Source organism: Homo sapiens, chromosome 1 (genome assembly GCF_000001405.40).
Source record: "Homo sapiens chromosome 1, GRCh38.p14 Primary Assembly".
Classification (NCBI taxonomy): Eukaryota; Metazoa; Chordata; class Mammalia; order Primates; family Hominidae; genus Homo; species Homo sapiens.
Window position 1 is genome coordinate 37,773,365 of NC_000001.11, and position 20,460 is coordinate 37,793,824.

A 20,460-nucleotide genomic window follows, 5' to 3' on the forward strand; every position below is an offset into this window, starting at 1 on the left:
AACTTTGGTTAGGCATGGTTGCTCATGCCTGTAACCCCAGCACTTTGGAAGGCCAAGGAAGAAGGATCACTTGAGGCCAGGAGTTCAATATCAGCCTAGGCAACACAGCGAGACTCCATCTGTACAAAAAAAAATACAAGAATTAGCCAGACATGATGGTGTGCACCTGTAGTCCCAGCTACTCAGGAGGTTGTAGTGGGGGATCACTTGACCCAGCAGGTTGAGGCTACAGTGAGCTAGGATCACACCACTGCACTCCAGCCTGGGCAACAGAACAAGACTGTCTCAATTTTTTGAAAAAAGGGCTGAGGCCAGGCACAGTGGCTCATGCTTGTAATCTCAGCACTTTGGGAGGCTGAGACAGGAGGATCACTTGAGCCCAGCAGTTTGAGACCAGCCTGGGCAACGTGGTGAAATCCCATCTCCACTAAAAATAGAAAAATTATCCAGGCATAGCGGCATGCCCCTGTTGTCCTAGCTACTCAGAAGGCTGAGATGGGAAGAGAATCATTTGAGCCTGGGAGGTCAAGTCTGCAGTGAGCTGTGTTTATGCTACTGTACTCCAAACTGGGAGACAGAGCGAGACCTGTCTCGAAAATAAAATAAAATAAAAAGACTGACAACTGACTCTTTCATAGAAATGATAAAATCCAGAAGATGATGGAATGGCATCTATAAAGTGCTAAAAGAAAATATCAATCTAAAATGCTATACTCAGTGAAAATATTCTTCAAAAATGAAGGTAAAATAAATATGTTTTCCCACAGTCAAAATTCTTCACAGATCCACACTAAAAACATATTAAAGGGAATTTTTTTAAAAAACTCAAAAGGAATTATGAACATCCAGGAAAAAAATAAGGTCAAAAGAAAGTAAATATGTGGGTAAAAATAAATGAACAATAACTGTATAAAGTGATAATGTCATGTGAAGTTCTAAATGCACATAGAATTAAAACATCACAAAAATAGCACAGAGTGTGGGAGCAGATAAATGGAGTTAAAGTATTTTAAGGTACTTGCATTGTCTATGAAGTGGTAAAAGAATTAATTTATATTAAACTTTAGCAAGTCAAGGATGCATGCTGTAATTACCATGGTAATCATGGAAAAATAGTAATAAAAATATGTTACTAACAAGCTAATGTAGAAACATTTGGAATAATAAAAATAATCAAAAAAGATTTAGAAGAGAGGAAAAAAGGAACATCGAACATGTGGGATAGATAGAATACAAATACTAGGATATCTTGAAACTCAGATGCATAAATAACTATTTTAAATATAAATGGACTAAATATTCCTATTTTAAAACAAAGATTGGGCCGGGTGCTGTGGCTCATGCCTGTAATCCCAGCACTCTGGGAGGCTCAGGCAGGAGGGTCACTTGAGCCCAGGAGGTAGAGACCAGCCTGGACAATATGGTAAAACCCCGTCTCTGTGAAGGAATACAAAAAGTAGCTGGGCATGGTGATGCACACCTGTGGCCCCAGCTACTTGAGAGGCTGAGGTGGGAAGATCACTTGAGCCTGGGAGGTTGAGGCTGCAGTGAGCCATGATTGTGACACTGCACTCCAGCCTGGGTGAGAGTGAGACCCTGTCTCAAAAACTAAAACCAAACAAAATAAAATAAAATAAAAACAAAGATAGTCAGATTGAGTTTCTAATTTACTTATTATTTTTATTTTTTAGTATTAAAAAAATTTCTTAGAGACAGGATCTTGTTCTGTTGCCCAGGCTGGAGTGCAGTGGTGCAATCATAGTTCACTGCAGCCTCAACCTCTTGGGCTCAAGCAATCCTCCCACCTTAGCCTCTAAAATAGCTAGGACTACAGGCATGTGCCACTGTACCTGGCTAATTTTTTTAAAAAATTTTGTAGAGTCAGGGTCTTGCTATGTTGTCCAGGCTGCTCTCGAATTGCTGGCCTCAAGAAATCCTTCTGCCTCAGCCTCCCAGAGCACTGGGATTATAGGGGAGAACCACCATGGCCAGCCCAGATTGGATTTTTGTTTTGGGGTTTTTTTTAATTTTTTTAAATTTTTTATTTTTTATTTTTTGAGACAAGGTCTCATTCCGTCACCCAGGCTGGAGTTCAGTGGCATGATCACAGCTCACTGCAACCTCTGCCTCCTGGACTTGAGTGATCTTCACACCTCAATCTCCTAAGTAGCTGGGACTCCAGGCGGATGCCATCATGCCCAGCTAATTTTAGTACTTTTCTTTTTTTGGTGGAGATGAGGTTTCACCATGTTGCGAAGGCTGGTCTTGAGCTCCTGAGCTCAAGTGATCCATTTGCCTCAGCCTCCCAAAGTGCTGGGATTATGGGCATGGGCCACCACACCTGGCCCAGATTGGGTTTTAAACAGCAACTTTATACTGCTTTAAAAAACTTCCACATAGCCAGGCACAGTGGTTCATGCCTGTAATCCCAGCACTTTGGGAAGCCAACGTGGGCAGATCACCTGAGGTCGGGAGTTTAAGACCAGCTTGACCAACATGGAGAAACCCCATCTCTACTAAAAATACAAAATTAGCCAACCATGGTGGCGCATGCCTGTAATCCCAGCTACTTGGGAGGCTGAGGCAGAAGAATCGCTTGAGCCCGGGGGGTCGTGGTGAGCCAAGATCGCGCCATTGCACTCCAGCCTGGGCAACAAGAGCGAAACTCCATCTCAAAAAAAAGAAAGAAAGAAAAGAAATTTCCACATAAGGATACAGATATGTTAAAGCAAAGGTTGTAAACAAACAAACATACAAACAGGATAGTATGTGCAAACGGTACATAATACAAACAGTAACTAAAAGAAAATCAATATCGCTAAACTAACATTGTAATTTTTTTTTTTTTAGACGAAGTCTTACTCGTCTCTCAGGCTGGAGCGCAATGTTGCAACCTCAGTTCACTGCAACATCCGCCTCCTGGATTCAAGTGATTCTCCTGCCTCAGCCTCCCAAGTAGCTGGGATTACAGGCAAGCGCCACCACACCTGGCTAATTTTGTATTTTTAGTAGAGATGGGGTTTCATCATGTTGGTCAGGCTGGTCTCGAACTCCTGACCTCAGGTTATCCACCTGCCTCAGCCTCCCAAAGTGTTGGGATTACAGGTATGAGCCACTGCACCCGGCCTTTTTTTTTTGAGACAGTCTCACTCTGTCGCACAGACTGGAGTGCAATGGCCTGATCTCGCCTCACTGCAACCTCCACCTCCTGAGTTCAAGTGATTCTCCTGTCTCAGCCTCCCAAGTAACTGGGATTACAGGCATGTGCTACCACGCCTGGCTAATTTTTTGTATTTTTAGTAGCAACTGCCACCAACCAGAACCGCAAAATGTTGGCTGTCTACCAGGGGCATGAGCAGTTGATGGAAAATTACAAGAGGCTGGCCAGTGATCTCCTGGAGTGGATTCAGCAAAACAGCCCCCCTGACTGGAGAACCCCATACCCCAAAAGACCTTCCAGGAGATGTAGCAGAAGTCTTTCATGACTACTGGTGCATCCACAAGCTGTCCAAAGTGCAGGAGAGAGGCCAGCTGGAGCTCACCTTCAACACGCTGCAGACCAAGCTGCACCTAAGCAACCAGCCTGCCTTCATGGGCTCTGAGGGTAAGATGGTCTTGAACATCAACAACAGTGGGCAGCACCTGGAGTAGGCCAAGAATTGACATGAGGAGTTGCTGCTGAATGATATTCACAGGCTGGAGCAGCTCAACCACCTGGCAGAGAAGTTCCAGAAGACCTCCATCCATGAGGCCTGGACCGATGAGAAGGAAGCCAGGCTTAAGCAGCGGGACTATGAGACAGCCACCCTATCAGACATCAAAGCCCTTATCCACAACCATGAAGCCTTCGAGAGTGATCTGGCCATACACCAGGACTTTGTGGAGCTGATCAAGGCTCTGAGAGTGGAAAAAACTCAAACTACTTTTCCTCTGCTCTCACACAACCCAGAATGCTTCTGTGACCAAATGTGTGTGGGGTTTTCCCCACCCACGGAACAAGCAATCAAATCTGCAGCAGACACAAGCTGGTTGTCCTCCAGTTCAATTCAATTCTGACTTTATCTACCTGGAGATAGTGTCAGATCCCACAGGGAAAGGGCTCAGTCCTGCAATACTGCCTCCACTTCAGATGCTAATCACAAGCCCAATTATTTTTGCCTGTGCTTCAGACCAACTCGCTATAAATTGGGGATCCTGCTACCCGCTACTTGGGTTCCATTAATTTGCTAGAGCAGCTCACAGAACTCAGAAAAACGCTTTACTTACTTTGGCTTGTTTATTACACAGGATATTACAAAGGATACAGATGAAGAGACACATAGGGCAAGGTGTGGGAAAGGGGACTTGGGACTTCCATGCCCTCTCTGGGGATGCCACTCTTCAGGAACCTCCATGTGTTCAGCTCTCCAGAAGCTCTGTGAACCCTGTCTTTTCAGGGTTTTATGGAGGCTTCATTATATAGGCATGATTGATTAAATCACTGGCTATTGCTGATCAACTTAATCTTCAGCCCCTCTTCCCTCCTCAGGGGTTGGGCAGTGGGGCTGAAAGTCCCAACCCTCTACTTATCCCTTGGTTTTTCTGGTGACCAGCCTCCATCCTGAAGCTCCCTAGGGGCTGCCAGCCATCCATCAACTCATCAGCATACAAAAAAAAGACATTGTTTTGGAAATTCTAATTATTTTTTAGTCATTGTATGCCAGGAAGCAGGATCAAAGACCAAATACATTATTTCACAATATCATAGAGGACACTGCCCAGGAACTCAACGAGCTGGATTACTGTGACTCCCACAGTTGTCAATGCCCAGTGCCAGAAGATTTACAAGGAGTGGGAAACCCTGTACTCTCTGACCCACAGTCACAGGGAAGCCCTGGAGAAAATGAAGAAGCAGCTGGAGGCCACTGATCATCTGTACCTGGAGTATGCCAAGTGGGCAGAGCCTTCTACAACTGGATGGAGAGTGCCGTGGAGGAGCTCCAGGACATGTTCCTCATCTACAATACTGAGAAGATTGAGGGCCTGATCTCAGCCCACAGCCAAAAGTTGACCCTGCCAGATAATGATAGGGAGAAAGAGGCTATCCTGGCCACCCACAAGGAAGCCCAGAGGATCACAGATAGCAAACATACCAAGCTGTCAGGCAGCAACCCCTACACCACTGTCACCTCCCCCGACCCCACACAGTTCATCCACTCCCAGTGGGCAAAGGTGCAGCAGTTGGTGTCAAAGCAGGATTATGCACTTCTGGAGGAGCAGAGCAAGCAGCAGTCCAACGAGCACCTCCACCACCAGTTCTCCAGCCAGGCCAATGTCATGGGGCCCTGGATCCAGACCAAGATGGAGGAAAGTGGGTGCAGCTCCATCAAAATGAAGGGGAACCCAGAGGACCAGCTAAACCTGAAGCAATATGAGCAAAACATCATGGACCACAAGCTGAACCTGGACCTGCTGACGCAGAGCACCAGCTCCTCCAGGAGGTCTTCATCTTCAACAACAAGCATATCAGCTACATGGTGGAACACATCCGCACGGCTGGGAGCAGCTGCTCACCACCATTGGCTGCACCATCAGTGAGGTCAAGAACCAGATCCTCACCTGCAATACCCAGGGCATTGGCCAGGAGCAGATGCAAGAGTTTCAGGTGTCCTTCAGCCACACTGACAAGAGCCATGGCAGGGTGCTGGGGCTGAAGGAGTTCAAGGCCTGCTTCATCAGCTTGGGCTACAATGTGGAGGATAACAGCAGAGCAATGCTGAGTTCAACTGCACCGGGAGTGTGGTTGACCCCAACCATAGCAGCCTTGTGGCCTCCCAAGCCTTCATCAACTTCAGGTCTTGGGAGACAACCAACGTAGACACAGCCAGGTCGTTACCTCCTTCAAGGTCATGGCAGGGGACAAGAACTTCATCACAGCCGAGGAGCTGCAGGGAGAGGTGTCTCTGACCAGGTCAAGTACTGCATTGCCCACCTGACCCCACAACAGGTCCCCAGTGCCATGCCTGGTGCCCTTGTCTACAAATCCTTCTCTATAGCTCCATACAACAAGAGTGACTATGAGGCTCCTGGTGAGACTCGTATCAAACACCCTTCCTCGTGGCCTCTGGTAGGGGCTGGGAGAGCCCTTTGCCCCCTTCCCATGGTGTAGGCCTCTACAGTCCCCATTCCTCTGTCTCTGTTAAAAGAAAGAAAAGGAAGGAAGATAGAAAAAGACTGGAGGACACAGAAGGGACAGGGGAGGGTGTAGCATTTTTCTGCTTTGGTGGAGACCATAATGATCTCTTATTATCATAGCCTTTTTTTTTTTTTTTTTTTTTTTTTTGAGACAGAGTCTCGCTCTGTCACCCAGGCTGGAGTGCAGTGGTGCGATCTCGGCTCACTGCAAGCTCCGCCTCCCAGGTTCACGCCATTCTCCTGCCTCAGCCTCCCAAGTAGCTAGGACTACAGGCACCCGCCACCATGCCTGGCTAATTTTTTTTGTATTTTTAGTAGAGATGAGGTTTCACTGTGTTAGCCAGGATGGTCTCGATCTCCTGACCTCGTGATCCACCCGCCTCGGCCTCCCAAAGTGCTGGGATTACAAGTGTGAGCCACCACGCCTGGCCTATCATAGCCTATTCTTATAATGACATCTCTCAGGTCTAATGAGCCCATGATGAACCTTAATCCTATGTTCTGCTTCATGTTATAATTCTTGCTGCTGGTTCTAGGCCAAACATTGTGTAAGTGCCTTGTTTGTTCAATCCTTACTGCAAATATATAAGGCAGTTATTGCCCTGTATTTCCTTCTCTTCATATCCAAAGTTCTAAAGGGTAGTCCACTAGTCCCCACTTCCCTATTTAATTTGTTTAAATACACTTTCACTTTTAATCAAAGTAACATTGTACATAGTATTAAAAGTCAAACAGTACTACAAGGCTTATAATTGAAATAGAAATCCTCTGCTTCCTCCTCCCATCCCTGAGTTTCAACCACTTTTGCACCTTTGGTTTTATCTCCTGTCATTTCCCCATACTTACTGAACATGGTGCTGAATCTCACACAGGGTGGGCCCTTTGTAAGTGGAGGTTTTTCCTGCTCTCATTCTGTTCCGCAAGCCTCACAACATGGTCAGTTGGGGGTGATGAGACCCCAATATATATGAAACAGCTCATGAACAACTCAGCTGACATCTACAAACACTGTGCGCCAGGTTCAAGAGAGAGTATTTACTGTGCAACGATTAAGAGCACAGGCAGATGTGGGCTCAGATCCTACCCCAGCCTCTCCCTACCTCTCTGAGCCTTTGTTTCTTCACCTGTAAAATGGGGAATGACCTTACCCATGACACAAGATTGCTGTGAGGATGGTGTGTGTGTGAGAGCAATCAAGCATCCTAAAACACAGCTAACACGGCTAACATGGTTTCTGCTCCACTCCACAGGGAACCAACCATAGAGAAACCATGGTGGGGAGACGTCTCGAGGGATGGGCGAAATCTGAATAGGAAGGAAAAAGAAAAGTTATTACAAGGGAGAATCAGGCTGAGTGCAGTGGCTCACACCTGTAATCACAACACTTTGGAAGGCAAAGGTGGGAGGATCTCTTGAGCCCAAGAATTCAAGACCAGCCTGGAGAGCATGATGAGACCCCATCTTTAAAACAATAAAATAAAACAGAACTGAAGCACAGACATAAAGGCAGAAATAAACATGGCATGTTTGAGAGACAGTGAAAGGAGACCAATGTAACTTGAATGTCAGGTTCTTTTTTTTTTTTCAGGGTCTCAAAAACAATGTTTATTTTAACACATAAAATATACCATCTAGCACCAATGCCTGTAAATACCAGACTTCCATCCGGTTACTACTCTTTGGAACAGGTATGAATAAAGTCCTTGACAGATTATTGTATATGAGCAAATGGCTTCATTATAACATAAAACAGAGAGACACAGAATAAAAATTCATTTGGTATATACATATAGAACTAAATTTGTAGTTATTCAAAAACCTTTCAGTGTTTCAGGTAAACAAGTTAATACCAGTATTTTTAAGCCAGATTTTCCTGGAACATATATATAAAGAAAAGTGCATGAGCCACCTATGTGCTTAAGCCTGAAACTGGTCTTTCTATTCTCACTCCATTCTCAAATGAAAAATCTGTAAAGATATCTTTTGTTCCTCCAATCTTCTGATTTGTCTTCTTAGCAACTCATTACAGTGTAATTTACTGATTAAATCACATAGATGTATGGTAGAGGAAAAGAATACAACTTTGGCCAATGTAAGTATACAAGACAATATCTCAGTTCTTTTTAAAATTAAAAGAACATTTAAGTATTAAAGATATTTTAAGAGAAATGAAGTGGCAGATAAACATGATAAACACTGCATAATTATGTACAAAATGAAAACCTTTTAAATTTTGAAGACAAACTAAAATTTACTGGTTTGAATTTAAAACATTATTGTATAATAGTAGATAGTTCTCTTTAGAAATTTATCTCTAGTTTCCTATAAAAGGTCATGCTGGTTCACTGTTTTTTTTTGGCAGATTTGGGCCTCACCTCAATACCAATTTTTATTTGAATAACTGATTCCCAACATTTCTTGTAAGCAGGACTTGATGCTGAACTAAGTAACCTAAGCTGGATTCAGGGCCATTGGCCGGCAGGCAGGCAGGCAAGCAGGCAGGCATTTTTTGTACTACAGGCAGCCCATGGTGGTTGTCATCTATACATCGGATCTCTAAAGACGTGCCGGAAAAAAATCTGTGGACACAATCTTCCCATGCTGTATTCACATGCTCGGTTCACATCTTTAGTTTACCAGGTTGTCAGAGGCTTGGGTAAGATGACTAAAGGCTTCATGATGAAAATTTCCATTTTTTCTTTCTGATGTATATAATATGAATATCTTCACTTTGGTACTCTTCATCATGTTTTTCCAAAGGAATTTTTTCAAAGTCAAAGTCTAGCTGAAGGAGCTCAAAATATTTTTTCTCAATATCTGGACTTTTTCCCATTCTTCGTTGTTCATAACAACATATAATACAAGTCTCAAATCCACTGATATCTTTTAGAGTTTTCAGCAATGGCTCCAAAGACTCTTCATAGTATATGCAGTCGGCCATCAGTATGTAGACGAGTGGAGGAGGAAAGTCTTCTATTTCTTCCCCCCATTTCAGTACCTTGGCTTGAACAGAACCAGTGACAAGGTGCTTGCTCATGTAAGTCTTGCAATTCCTCAAGATCAGTGACTACAACATTAGCCCTGAGGGTAGCGGCCATGCACCCCACGGCCCCGGTGCCCGAACCCAGCTCCAGCACCAACCGCCGGCTCAGCGTGTGGGCCCAGTCGCCAGAAAACTCAGGCGTTTCCAGGTATTTAGAAAGGACATATGCAGCGTCCCAAACGATGCAACCCATGCCGCCAGAGCCATACTGCTGTAGTGGTAGCACCGTACCATCCCACTTCTCCAAAACTTGCACAAAGCTCCGCACTGGGTCCTCCAGTGAAGACTCTGGCGTAGTCGCCATCACTGCCCAGCAACAATAGCTTTTTTTTTTATATATATTATTATTATTTTTTTGAGATAGGATCTTACTCTGTTGCCCTCAAACTCCCGGGCTCAAGTGATCCTCCTACCTCAGCCTCCTGAGTAGCTGAGAACTACAGACACGTGTAACCATACCTAGCTAATTTTTAAATTTTTTGTAGAGGCAGGCTCTCAATATATTGCCTAGGCTGGCCTTGAACTCCTGGCCTCAAGCGATCCTCCCACCTTGGCCTCCAAAAGTGCTGGGATTACAGGCATAAGCTACCATGCCCAGGCTCATTTTAAATGTAGGAGGTCATGTTGGATCAGCAGCTGAGAAAGCCCTGCCAAGGTAGCCAGTGGGGTACTACTGTAGGGCGGGTGGGGGAAGAATAGGACAGTGGGCAGGGAGCACTCATTTGTGAGCAGCAGGCAGAACAGATTGAATTTGGGCCTGGGGAAACCCAGGTGTGGTATGATTAAGCTTTGTCTGGTACTCTGGAGACATAGCTGAAAGGTCACAGAGAAGTAGCCTTAGTAAGATGGAATTATACTAGATGGTTTCTAAGAGCACTGATAGCCTAATATTCTATAATTATATCATTATAGGACTGATATGGTGACAGTGGAAATATACAAAAAGAGAAAGAATGAAAATATTTTGCAAGCATTATCAATATGACTTGGTTACCATTTGCATACTGGGAATTAAAAAGTGCATTGCTGGCTGGGCATGGTGGCTCATGCTTATAATCCCAGCACTTTGGGAGGCCGAGGTGGGCAATCACAAGGTCAGAAGTTCGAGGCCAGCCTGGCCAACACAGTGAAACCCTGTCTCTACTAAAAATACAAAAATTAGCCAGGCATGGTGGCAGGGACCTGTAGTCCCAGCTACTTGGGAGGCTGAGGCAGGAGAATCGCTTGAACCCGGGAGGTGGAGGTTGCAGTGAACCGAGATCGCGCCACTCCACTCCAGCTTGGGCAACAAAGTGAGACTCTGTCTCAAAAAGAAAAAAAAAAGTGCATTGCTGGACATGGTGGTGTGCACCTGTAATCTCAGCTACTTGGAAGGCTGAGGTGAGAAGATCACTTGAGGCTAGGAGTTTGAGACCCCAACTAATTAAACAATTTTAAATTAGCCAGGCATAGTAGCACCACCTGTGATCCCACCTACTGGGGAGGGTGAGGCAGAAGGAATGCTTGAGTCCAGGTGTTCAAGGCTGCAGTGAGCTACGATCCTGCCACAGCACTTCAGCCTGGGCAACACAGCACGTCTCTCAAACATGCCATGGTTATTTCTGTCTTTAGGCCTGTGCTTCAATTCTGTTTTTTATTTCATCTTTTTAGAGATGGGGTCTCACTATGTAGCCCAGGTTGGTCTTATCTCTAAAAAATAAACATTAAAAAAATGTGCTTCAGAGATTGGGGTGCCCTTGGTTGGGGAGGTACGTAGTGGAATTGACAGTAAAACATGCAAGTAAAAATTCTAGCAGATGCATGAAGAACACATGAGGCATGCTCCCGTCTCCAGGAAAATGAACTTGCTGTTTCTTCTTCCTGGAACTCACTTCTTCCAAACGTCTGCACAGTTTTCTTCCTCTCTCCCTCAGGCCACCCTCTCAGGGAGGTCTTCCCTGCCCAACCTATTAAACATTGTAAAACTTCCCCAGCCTGGCATTCCCTCTCCCCACCTCCTGCTTTGTGTTTCTCTACAGCACTTGTCATCTGACCATTCTGTTTTGTTTATTAGATGATCAGTATCCTAATATGAAGACTGTATAGAAAATAGATTCAGAGGAATTTAAATGTTGTGTTGGAGAGTTTAGAAAAAACAACTAATAAAGATATAGAGCTGGGCACAGTGGTTCACGCCTGTAATCCCAGTACTTTGGGAAGATGAAGCAGGTGGATCACCTGAGGTCAGGAATTTGAGACCAGCCTGGCCAACATGGTGAAACCCGTCACTAATTAAAAATACAAAAATTACCCAGGCATGGTGGTGCATGTCTGTAATCCCAGCTACTCGGGAGGCTGAGGCAAAAGAATCGCCTGAACCCGGGAGGCGGAGGTTATAGTGAGCCGAGATCGTGCCACTGCACTTCAGCCTGGGCGACACAGCAATACTCCATCTCAAAAAAAAAAAAAAAGATACAGGCTGGGTGCGGTGGCTCATGCCTGTAATCCCAACACTTTGGGAGGCCAAGGCAGGCAGATCACCTGAGGTCAGGAGTTCAAGACCAGCCTGACCAACATGGTGAAACCCCATCTCTACTAAAAATACAAAAATTAGCTGGGCGTGGGGGGTGGGGGGCACCTGTAATCCTGGCTACTCGGGAGGCTGAGGCAGGAGAATCACTTGAACTCGGGAGGCAGAGGTTTCAGTCAGCCAAGATCGCACCATTGCACTCCAGCCTGGGTAACAGAGCGAGACTCCATCTCAAAAAAAAAAAAAAAAAAAAGATACAACCACATGGAGCAATGAAAAATGAGAATGCGGTGACACACTCTCAGCTCACTGCAACCTCAGCCTCCAGGGCTCAAGCCATTCTGTGTCAGCCTCCTGAGTAGCTGGGATTACAGGTGTGCACCACCACACCCAGCTAATTTTTGTATTTTTTGTAGAGACAGGGTTTCACCATGTTAGCCAGGCTGGTCTCCAACTGCTGACCTCAGGTGATCCACCCGCCTTGGCCTTCCAAAGTGCTGGGATTACAGGCGGGAGCCACCACGCCAGGCCCAGCCTATCTATCAATTTCAGCTGCTCTGGGAAAGAGCCTTCTTGGGTGTCCTCCTGCTTCCATTGGGCAGATTGCTCTTCAGGCTTGCTGCACAGGTAGTGCTCTGGGACTCCCCTGAGCTCTTCCTCTGTGTTAGATTTCCTTTTTACTGGATCCCAAGTTCCTCCTCACCTTTTTTATTTACTTCTCTATTATATTTTTTGGTAGCTTCCTGAGAAAGACAGCATAGGAGAAAAAAAATTGAGACCTTGAATACCTAAAAACAATGTCTATTCTAGACCAGTCTGGGCAACATGGTGAAACCCCGTCTCTACCAAAAATAGAAAGATTAGCTAGGCATGGTGATGCATGCCTGTAGTCCCAGCTACTTGGGCGACTGAGGTGGGAAGATCACCTGAGCAAGAGAGGCAGAGGTTGCAATGAGCTGAGATTGCACCACTGCACTCCAGCCTGGGCTGGAGTGAGACCCTATCAGAAAAAAAAAAAAAAGTCTATTCTACTCTCATAATTAAAAAAAAATGTTTTCTTTTTCTTTTTTTCTTTTTTGGAGACGGAATCTCACTCTGTTGCCCAGGCTGGAGTGCAGTGGCACGATCTCAGCTCACTGCAAGCTCCGCCTCCCGGGTTCATGCCATTCTCTTGCCTCAGCCTCCCCGGCAGCTGGGACTACAGGTGCATGCCACCGCACCTGGCTAATTTTTGTATTTTTAGTAGAGACAGGGTTTCACCGTGTTAGCCAGGATGGTCTCCATCTCCTGCCCTCGTGATCCGCCCACCTCGGCCTCCCAAAGTGCTGGGATTACAGGCGTGAGCAACCACGCCCGACCAAAAAAAAAAATTTTTTTTTTCATTTTACTTGACTACAAGGTTCAATACACCACCCTCACAATTTTAAAACTAATTGTAGAATCCTAGGTCCAAAATTATTTGCCCTCAGAATTTTGGAAGAAATTGTCCCCTGCCTTCTGCTTTCCTGGGCCATTCTAATTCCAAATCCTTGACTTCTTTTTCTTCGAAAGCTTTTTGGATCTTCTGTTTTCAATGTCCTGAACTTTCATAATGATGAGTACTGTATGGGTCATTTTTTAATTCATTGTTCACTTAGGGGGCTACTGCAATCCAGAACGTCATGTCCCAGGACATTTTATTTTATGAGTTCTTTGGTAATTTCTCGTTTCAGTGTTCTGAAAGGTTCCTCAGGGTGGGTTTGTTTTTCTACTTCCTGGGAGATTCCTTGGCTTTATCATCCAAAACTTTCTATTATAATAAAATTTTAAATTTGGGCTCTATTGCTTTAATTTCCAAGAGCTTTTTATTGGTTTCTGATCAATCCTTCCCCCCGTGTATATAGCATTCTGGTTTTGTTTCATGAATATGAAAATCTGTTTATTTGGCTAGCTGCATTCTGTTTTCTTCTCATCAACTCTTTCACTCTTACTTTTTTTTTTTTTTCTTTTTGGAGGGTCTCACTCTGTCACCCAGACTGGAGTGCAGTGGCACTATCATGGCTTACCGCAGCCTCAACATCCTGGGTTCAACCAATCCCCCTGCCTCAGACTCCCAAAGCGCTGGGATTACAGGCATGAGCCACTGCACCAGGCTAGCTCTCACTGTTTCATCCTTTTCTTCCTTCCTTCCTTTCTTTCTTTTTTGTTTGTTAGCTTTTTATATCTGGCTTTCATTCAGGGAGCGTTCACTAAATGTCTGAGAATCATTAGTTATTCACGTTTAGAGTGAGGCACTAGAAAGCTGATTGAAAGATCTGAACGCAAGAGGCATGTTTGCTGATTTGTGTGTTTCACTCTGGGTTGATCAGGCAGTAAGCTGACTTTTCAGTATGTGGAGGATTTTCCTCAAGGGTCTCAATGTCAGTCTGTGCAGAACTTTTCCCAAGGGTCTTTCTTTTTCTCCAGGGAGTCACTTGGACTTTTGCTTGGAAAGTTGACTTAAAAAATTTTTTATGGCCAGGTGCAGTAGCTCACCCCTGTAATCCCAGCACTTTGGGAGGCCGAGACTGGTGGATCACTTGAGGTCAGGAGTTTGAGACCAGCCTGGCCAACATAGTGAAACCCCGTTTCTACTAAAAACACAAAAATTAGCCAGGCATGGTGGTGTGCGCCTGTAGTCCCAGTTACTTGGGAGGCTGAGGCAGGAGAATTGCTTGAACCTGGGAGGCAGGGGTTGTGGTGAGCCGAGGTTACTCCACAGTACTCCAGCCTGGGCGACAGAGTGAGACTCCGTCTCAAAACAAAAAACAAAAAAACCTAGCCAGTCGTGGTGGCCCTCACCTATAATCCCAGCTACTCGAGAGGCTGGGGCATGAGAATTGCTTCAACCTGGCAGGTGGAGGTTAAAGCAAGCCAAGATTATGCCACTGCACTCCAGCCTGGGCGACAGAGCGAGACTCCATCTCAAAAAAAAATTTTTTTAACCTTTAATTTTTAAATTTATTTTAGAAACAAGGTGTCACTATTTTGCTCAGGCTGTCCTCAAACTCCTGGGCTCAAGTACCTCAGCCTCCCGAGTAGCTGGGACTACAGGCATGCACTACCATGCCCAGCTCCTGGAAGGCTGACCTATGACTGCCAGTGTTCCTGGGGCTGAGTGATATAAAGAGCTGGACTTCTTGCCATTTATTGATCCAGACTCCCCTGGATTTCAGGATGGCCTCTCACTCCTCCCTCTCCTGTTGCCTAGTACTCCTGTGTCTGGGGATTCTCTTGTTATACTCTTTCACAGAACAAACCTGTCATCTCCAGCCATAGTGGGGAAAGGGGGCTCTCTCAACACAGTCCTAGTTCTGTAAGGAAGAAGGGGAAAATTGACTCTGAGCAGATGTAGGAGAGACTTTTGGCTGTTTACCCAAATCCCCTTCCTTTTGCCCTTCTTTCTGATTTTTTTCACCTCTGAATGGCCTTGGCACGGGATTTGCTTGGATGTGAATAGATGACACAATTCTGGCCAATCAGAAGTGATGGGAAACCTGCTGAGAGCTCCTAGAAGAGCTTATCTTACTTGTTAAAAGGATTATAAAATAGGGCCATTCCCTTTTCTGCACCTGGATGTTGTCCTGTGGGAATGGAATGCTTGGAACTGCTTCCATCCTTCTCAATCATGAAGGGAAGGCCAAAAAAAAAAAAAAAAAAGAATCACAGAGAAGGTGATCTGATGTCACAGTGTCTTTGAACCCTTAGATTAACCATCTCTAGAACCAGCCTAGTTAAAGCCTCCTTAATATGTGGGGTAATAAATACACTATACTCTAAGCCCTAAAGGACCAGTCAAATCAGCATCACCTGGCATCTTCTTAGAAACATAGACTCTTGGCCAGGCACAGTGGCTCTCACCTCTAATCTCAGCACTACAGGAGGCTGAGGCAGGTGGATTGTTTGAGCCCAGGAATTTGAGACTAGCCTGGGCAGCATGGCAAAACCCCATCTCTACCGAAAAAAAAAAAAAATTAGCCAGGCGTGGTGGTGCACACCTGTAGTCTCAACTACTTGGGAGGCTGAGGTGGGAAGACTGCTTGAGCCCAGGAGGCAAAGGTTGCAGTGAGCTGTGACTGGGCTACTGCACACCAGACTGGGTGATAAAGTGAGACCCTGTCTCAAAAACAAAAAACAAAACAAAACAAACAAACAAACAAAAACAGGTTTCATTCCAGACCTACTGAATCAGGATCTGTATTTTTAACAAGATCCTCAAGGGACTGACATGCTCACTAAAGTGTGAGAAGCACTTTAAGCCATGTTTAGCTGTTTTCCTTCTTATTTGTGGCTGAACACACATTCTAATCGATAGAATGGGTGTAATACATACCTTGAATGCCACGTGTCACATCTCTTTGGCCCACCTTGATTTTAGGAAAAGTTTTTAGGCAGAACTCTTAAGATGTCCCCCACCAAGATTCCTGTCCTCTAGCTATTCAATTGAAAATAATCTAGTTACTGTTGTGAAGGGACTTTGTGGAATGGAATGAAGTTTACTAATTAGTTGACCTTATATTTTATAATTTTTTAAATTAAAAAAACTTTTAGAGATGAGGTCTCATTATGTTACCCAGGCTGGTCTCTAACTTCTGGGCTCAAGCAACCTACCCACCTTGGCCTCCTAAAGTACTGGGACAGGTGTGAGCCATTGTGCCTGGTCTTTTGTTTGTTTTTTTTTTGTTTTTTTTTTTTTTTTGTAGCGACAGGGTCTTGCTATATTGCTCAGGCTGGCCTCGAACTCCTGGGCTCAAGTGATCCTCCCATCTCGGCCTCCCAAAGTTCTGGGATTACGGGCATGAACCACCACACCTGGCCAATAATTGACCTTAAACAGAGGAAGTTACCCTGGATTATCTGACGGCATCTAATATATCACATGAGCTCTTAAAACCAGAAGAGGAAGGTATGAGAGAGAGGTAGAAAGGGAGGTCAGAGAGATCCAAAGTGTGAGAAGGACAAGATCTGATGTTGCTGGCTTTGAAGATGGAAGAAGGGGCCTACAAGCCAAGAAATGCAGCAGGCCTCTAGAAACTGAGAAAGACCCCCAGATGACAGCCAGCAAGCAAATGGGGGCCTTAGCCCTGCAATTGTGTGGAACTGAATTCTGCCATTGAGCTGGACGTAGATCCGTTCCTAGAGCCTCCAGAAAGGAGTGTAACCTGCCAACGCCTTAATTTTGGCTTCCTGAGATTCCAACCAGAGAACTCACTAAGTCACACTGTGCCTAGACTTTTGACCTACAGAAATCATGAGACAGTAAACTTTTGTGCTGTTTTAACTGCTAAATTTATAGTAATTTGTTATGACAGCAGAAAATGAGTACATCTAGGATGGATGGTTCTGTGCGAGCTTAGTCTTCCTCACACTGGCGGCATCCCACTTGAATAAATAATGTGTCCGTCTCTCTTTATACCTGCCTCAAAACCTTCTCTGATGTCCTGGGAGCCTGCTTGGCAACAGGAGACCAGAAATACAAGGAAGTTAACTCCCCTAGGGAAAATGCTTGACCAGTGGAGGAGGGGGTCAGTAGGTAATTGCTTCAGCCTCACACCTCCTAACTCTGGGAGGCATTTGTACACTTCTGAAAAGACGTGGCAGAATTAAGTCCCCATTATCTATAGCAGCGACATCCTCAGTGCACCATTGGTTTGGCTTTTCTTTTGTTCTTGTCTCATTCTGTTCAATTCCTAACTCTTACTTCCTGAGATTACCTTCCAAATGACCTCCTGCTCCCAAGTCCCCTTCTCGGTCTTGTCAGAGATTGATAGGCAATCAATAGTCAGCTCCATCAGCTCACCTTGCTCAGAATAAAAGGGTAACTTATTGGAAGAATGGTCAAGTGTTTCACACCGCAACTAGGCCGCCAGGAAGACTGAAATCAGGACACCAATAACACTAAGTTTCTCTCTGTCCCTTCCCTCTAATGGCATTATCTTGTTTGTTTGTTTGTTTGTTTGTTTGTTTGTTTTTGAGAGAGGGTCTCACTCGGTCACCCTGGCTGGGGTGCAGTGGTGTGATCACGGCTCACTGCAGCCTTGACCTCTCAGGCTCAAGTGGTCCTCCCACCTCAACCTCCCGAGTAGTTGGGAGTACAGGCGTGTGCCACCATGCCTGACTAATATATTTTAATTTTTTGTAGAGATGAGGTCTCACTATGTTACCCAGGCTGATCTCAAAAGCCTGAACTCAAGTCATCCTCCCACCTCAGCCTCCCAAAGTGCTGCGATTACAGGCATGAGCCGCCGCACCCGGCAAATGGCATTATCTTTAAAGAGGATGAAATCTCTCCTGCAGACCAGAGAGTAAAATCCCAAAAAATGACTGGAATTGATGCCCTTTGGGTCAGTATTCATGATTGGTCCAGTGGAAGATGGGAAGCTATCATTGGACTAATTTTGACCACTAGGTCAGAGTACTAGCCCTGGGTCAAACTGTCAAGGCCAGGTGGCAGTGTCAAGGACTCCAGGCATGGCCAACAGGGGACACAATTGTTTCAGGGCATCCCAGAAATAGTGGGATGACTGGGAGCTGGGGAAACCTTCCCACTATTTTTCCAAAACCTTCACCACCCATTCCCTGTTCTCTTAGTTCCTCGTTAATGATTCTTTCTGTTTCCTTCTTAGACTCTCTCCTTCCTCTGCCTGTCCCAGAAATGCTGGTGTTCCTGAGAGTGCCGTCCTTACCCGTTTTCTTCTCTTTCTTTCTTTCTTTCTTTTCTTTCTTTCTTTCTTTCTTTTTTTGAGACAGAGTCTCGCTCTGTCACCCGGGCTGGAGTGCAGTGGCGTGATCTCGGCTCACTGCAACCTCCGCCTCCTGGGTTCAAGTAATTCTCCTGCCTCAGCCTCCCAAGTAGCTGGGACTACAGGCGCCTGCCACCTCGCCTGGCTAATTTCTTGTATTTTAGTAGAGATGGTGGTTTCATCGTGTTGCCCAGGCTGGTCGCAAACGCCTGAGCTCAGGTAATCCACCTGCCTTGGCCTCTCAAAGTGCTGGATTACAGGCTTGAGCCACTGCACCCAGCCTCTTCTCACTCTTTCTATTCCCAGAGTCACCTCACTCTTTGGTAGACATGGTATTCTCTCCAACATTTAACCCACTCCACAAATGTAATCTCATCTAGTCATGGTAATTCTATCCCCCTCGGCAATAATTTGTCTGGCATAAAAAGGCCTAAACCAGATTAGACCAAGGAGATTCAATGAGATGTTTGTTTAGGACTTCTGGGAAAGAGAAATCAGTCTTACCCTTGCCTGTGGAATGGGAAGAGCAGTCAATAGCCATAGCAGCCATTTTGTGGCATGAGGGGAACTGGGTTTGTATATGAAGTCAGTGGTGGGGAGAGTAGAGCAGTGAGACGGGAACATCTCAGGTTCCTAATGACATTGTTGGATCAGAGAAAATACCCACTCTGCCCTGCCACTGGGCTCCTTGCTTTGCAAGTTGATACACTGGCATATTCCTTAAGTCAGGCTGAATCGGGTATGGGCGACCTGGAGCTGAAGGCATTCCACTTCATTCACATTTACCACCATAAGGTCTCTCAAGCTCACTTTCCTCGGCTGCAGGTCTACCAACACTTCCCAAGCTCCCTGCTCCTCTTCCTGGGTTCCCTACAATTCATTTTACTTAACCAATAAGAACTGGGTGCCCGCCATCATCCCAAGCTCTGTTTTAGACATGCAGACAGGGAATGAAACAAAGTTGCTGTCATTGCGGACCACTGAAGGAGGCATATGATAAACAAAACTATCTTCTGAATAAATGAAGTAATGAATAATGCAGTGTAGGAACTCTATCAATAGCGAGTGAAAAGCTTATTATCTACAGACTATCACACCAGGGGCTGGTACTCACTTAAACGGCACTAGGAAGTGAGTGTCAGATGCTGTTCCGGCAGCCCTTGGCGTCTAACAAGGTAAATAAGACGGGGCCTGTCCTCTGGAGCCCAGAATCCAGGAAGAAAGGCGCACATGTATTGAGCGCTTGCTTTTCAGGCCCCGTGGAAGTGCTTTACGGGAACCATCTCATTTAATCCTCCCTGACTCTAGGAGGTTCTCCCAGGAGAGACCGCTCCAGACGACATCAGGCCTACAAGCCAAGAAATGCAGCAGGCCTCTAGAAACTGAGAAAGACCCCCAGATGACAGCCAGCAAGCAAATGGGGGCCTTAGCCCTGCAATTGTATGGAACTGAATTCTGCCATTGAGCTGGACGTAGATCCGTTCCTAGAGCCTCCAGAAAGGAGTGTAACCTGCCAACGCCTTAATTTTGGCTTCGTGAGATTCCAACCAGAGAACTCACTAAGCCACACTGCGACCCGGCAGGCTGGGCAGTGCAGCGAGCTCTGGAGAGTGCGCCCTGACCCGGGGTCCAGGCCCGGTCAGTGTGACCTTGCGCGAGTCACGGTCGTCCTCCGCCCGCCAGGCCCCGGACGGCGTCTGCAGGGTCCGATTCCTGGGGATTTCCCGACGCCCCTTCCCCCGAGGTTCAGGGGCTGCCTGGGGTGCCGGGGAGGGGGGCCGAGGGATGGGGGACCTGGGGCTAGAAGGGTGGCACTGAGACCCGTAGGGAGGGGGCCAGTGAAGTGAGTAAAGGTGGATCGACGAAGAAGGAAATCCTTGGGGAGAGAACCACCGACGCGCGCTTCTTTCCCCCCCCCGCCCCGCCTCCGCCCCCGCCCCCGCCGCGCCGCCTCTCTCCCGCGCTCCGGAAGG

The 20,460-nt window shown here is 46.0% G+C and overlaps 2 pseudogenes, besides 1 other annotated feature; one reads left to right on the forward strand and one right to left on the reverse strand.

Annotated features, from left to right (window-relative positions):
- The first annotated feature begins 3,272 nt into the window (after positions 1 to 3,272).
- Positions 3,273 to 6,174, forward strand: ACTN4P2 (actinin alpha 4 pseudogene 2; annotated as a pseudogene).
- Positions 6,175 to 8,651: 2,477 nt separating this feature from the next.
- LOC100129497 (valosin containing protein lysine methyltransferase pseudogene) lies at positions 8,652 to 9,536 on the reverse strand (annotated as a pseudogene).
- Positions 20,390 to 20,439: a silencer, noted in NCBI's record as "silent region_678". NCBI's record gives its function as "represses an Ori minimal core promoter by ATAC-STARR-seq in GM12878 lymphoblastoid cells {active_cell/tissue: GM12878}" and the evidence as "EXISTENCE:reporter gene assay evidence [ECO:0000049][PMID:35858748]".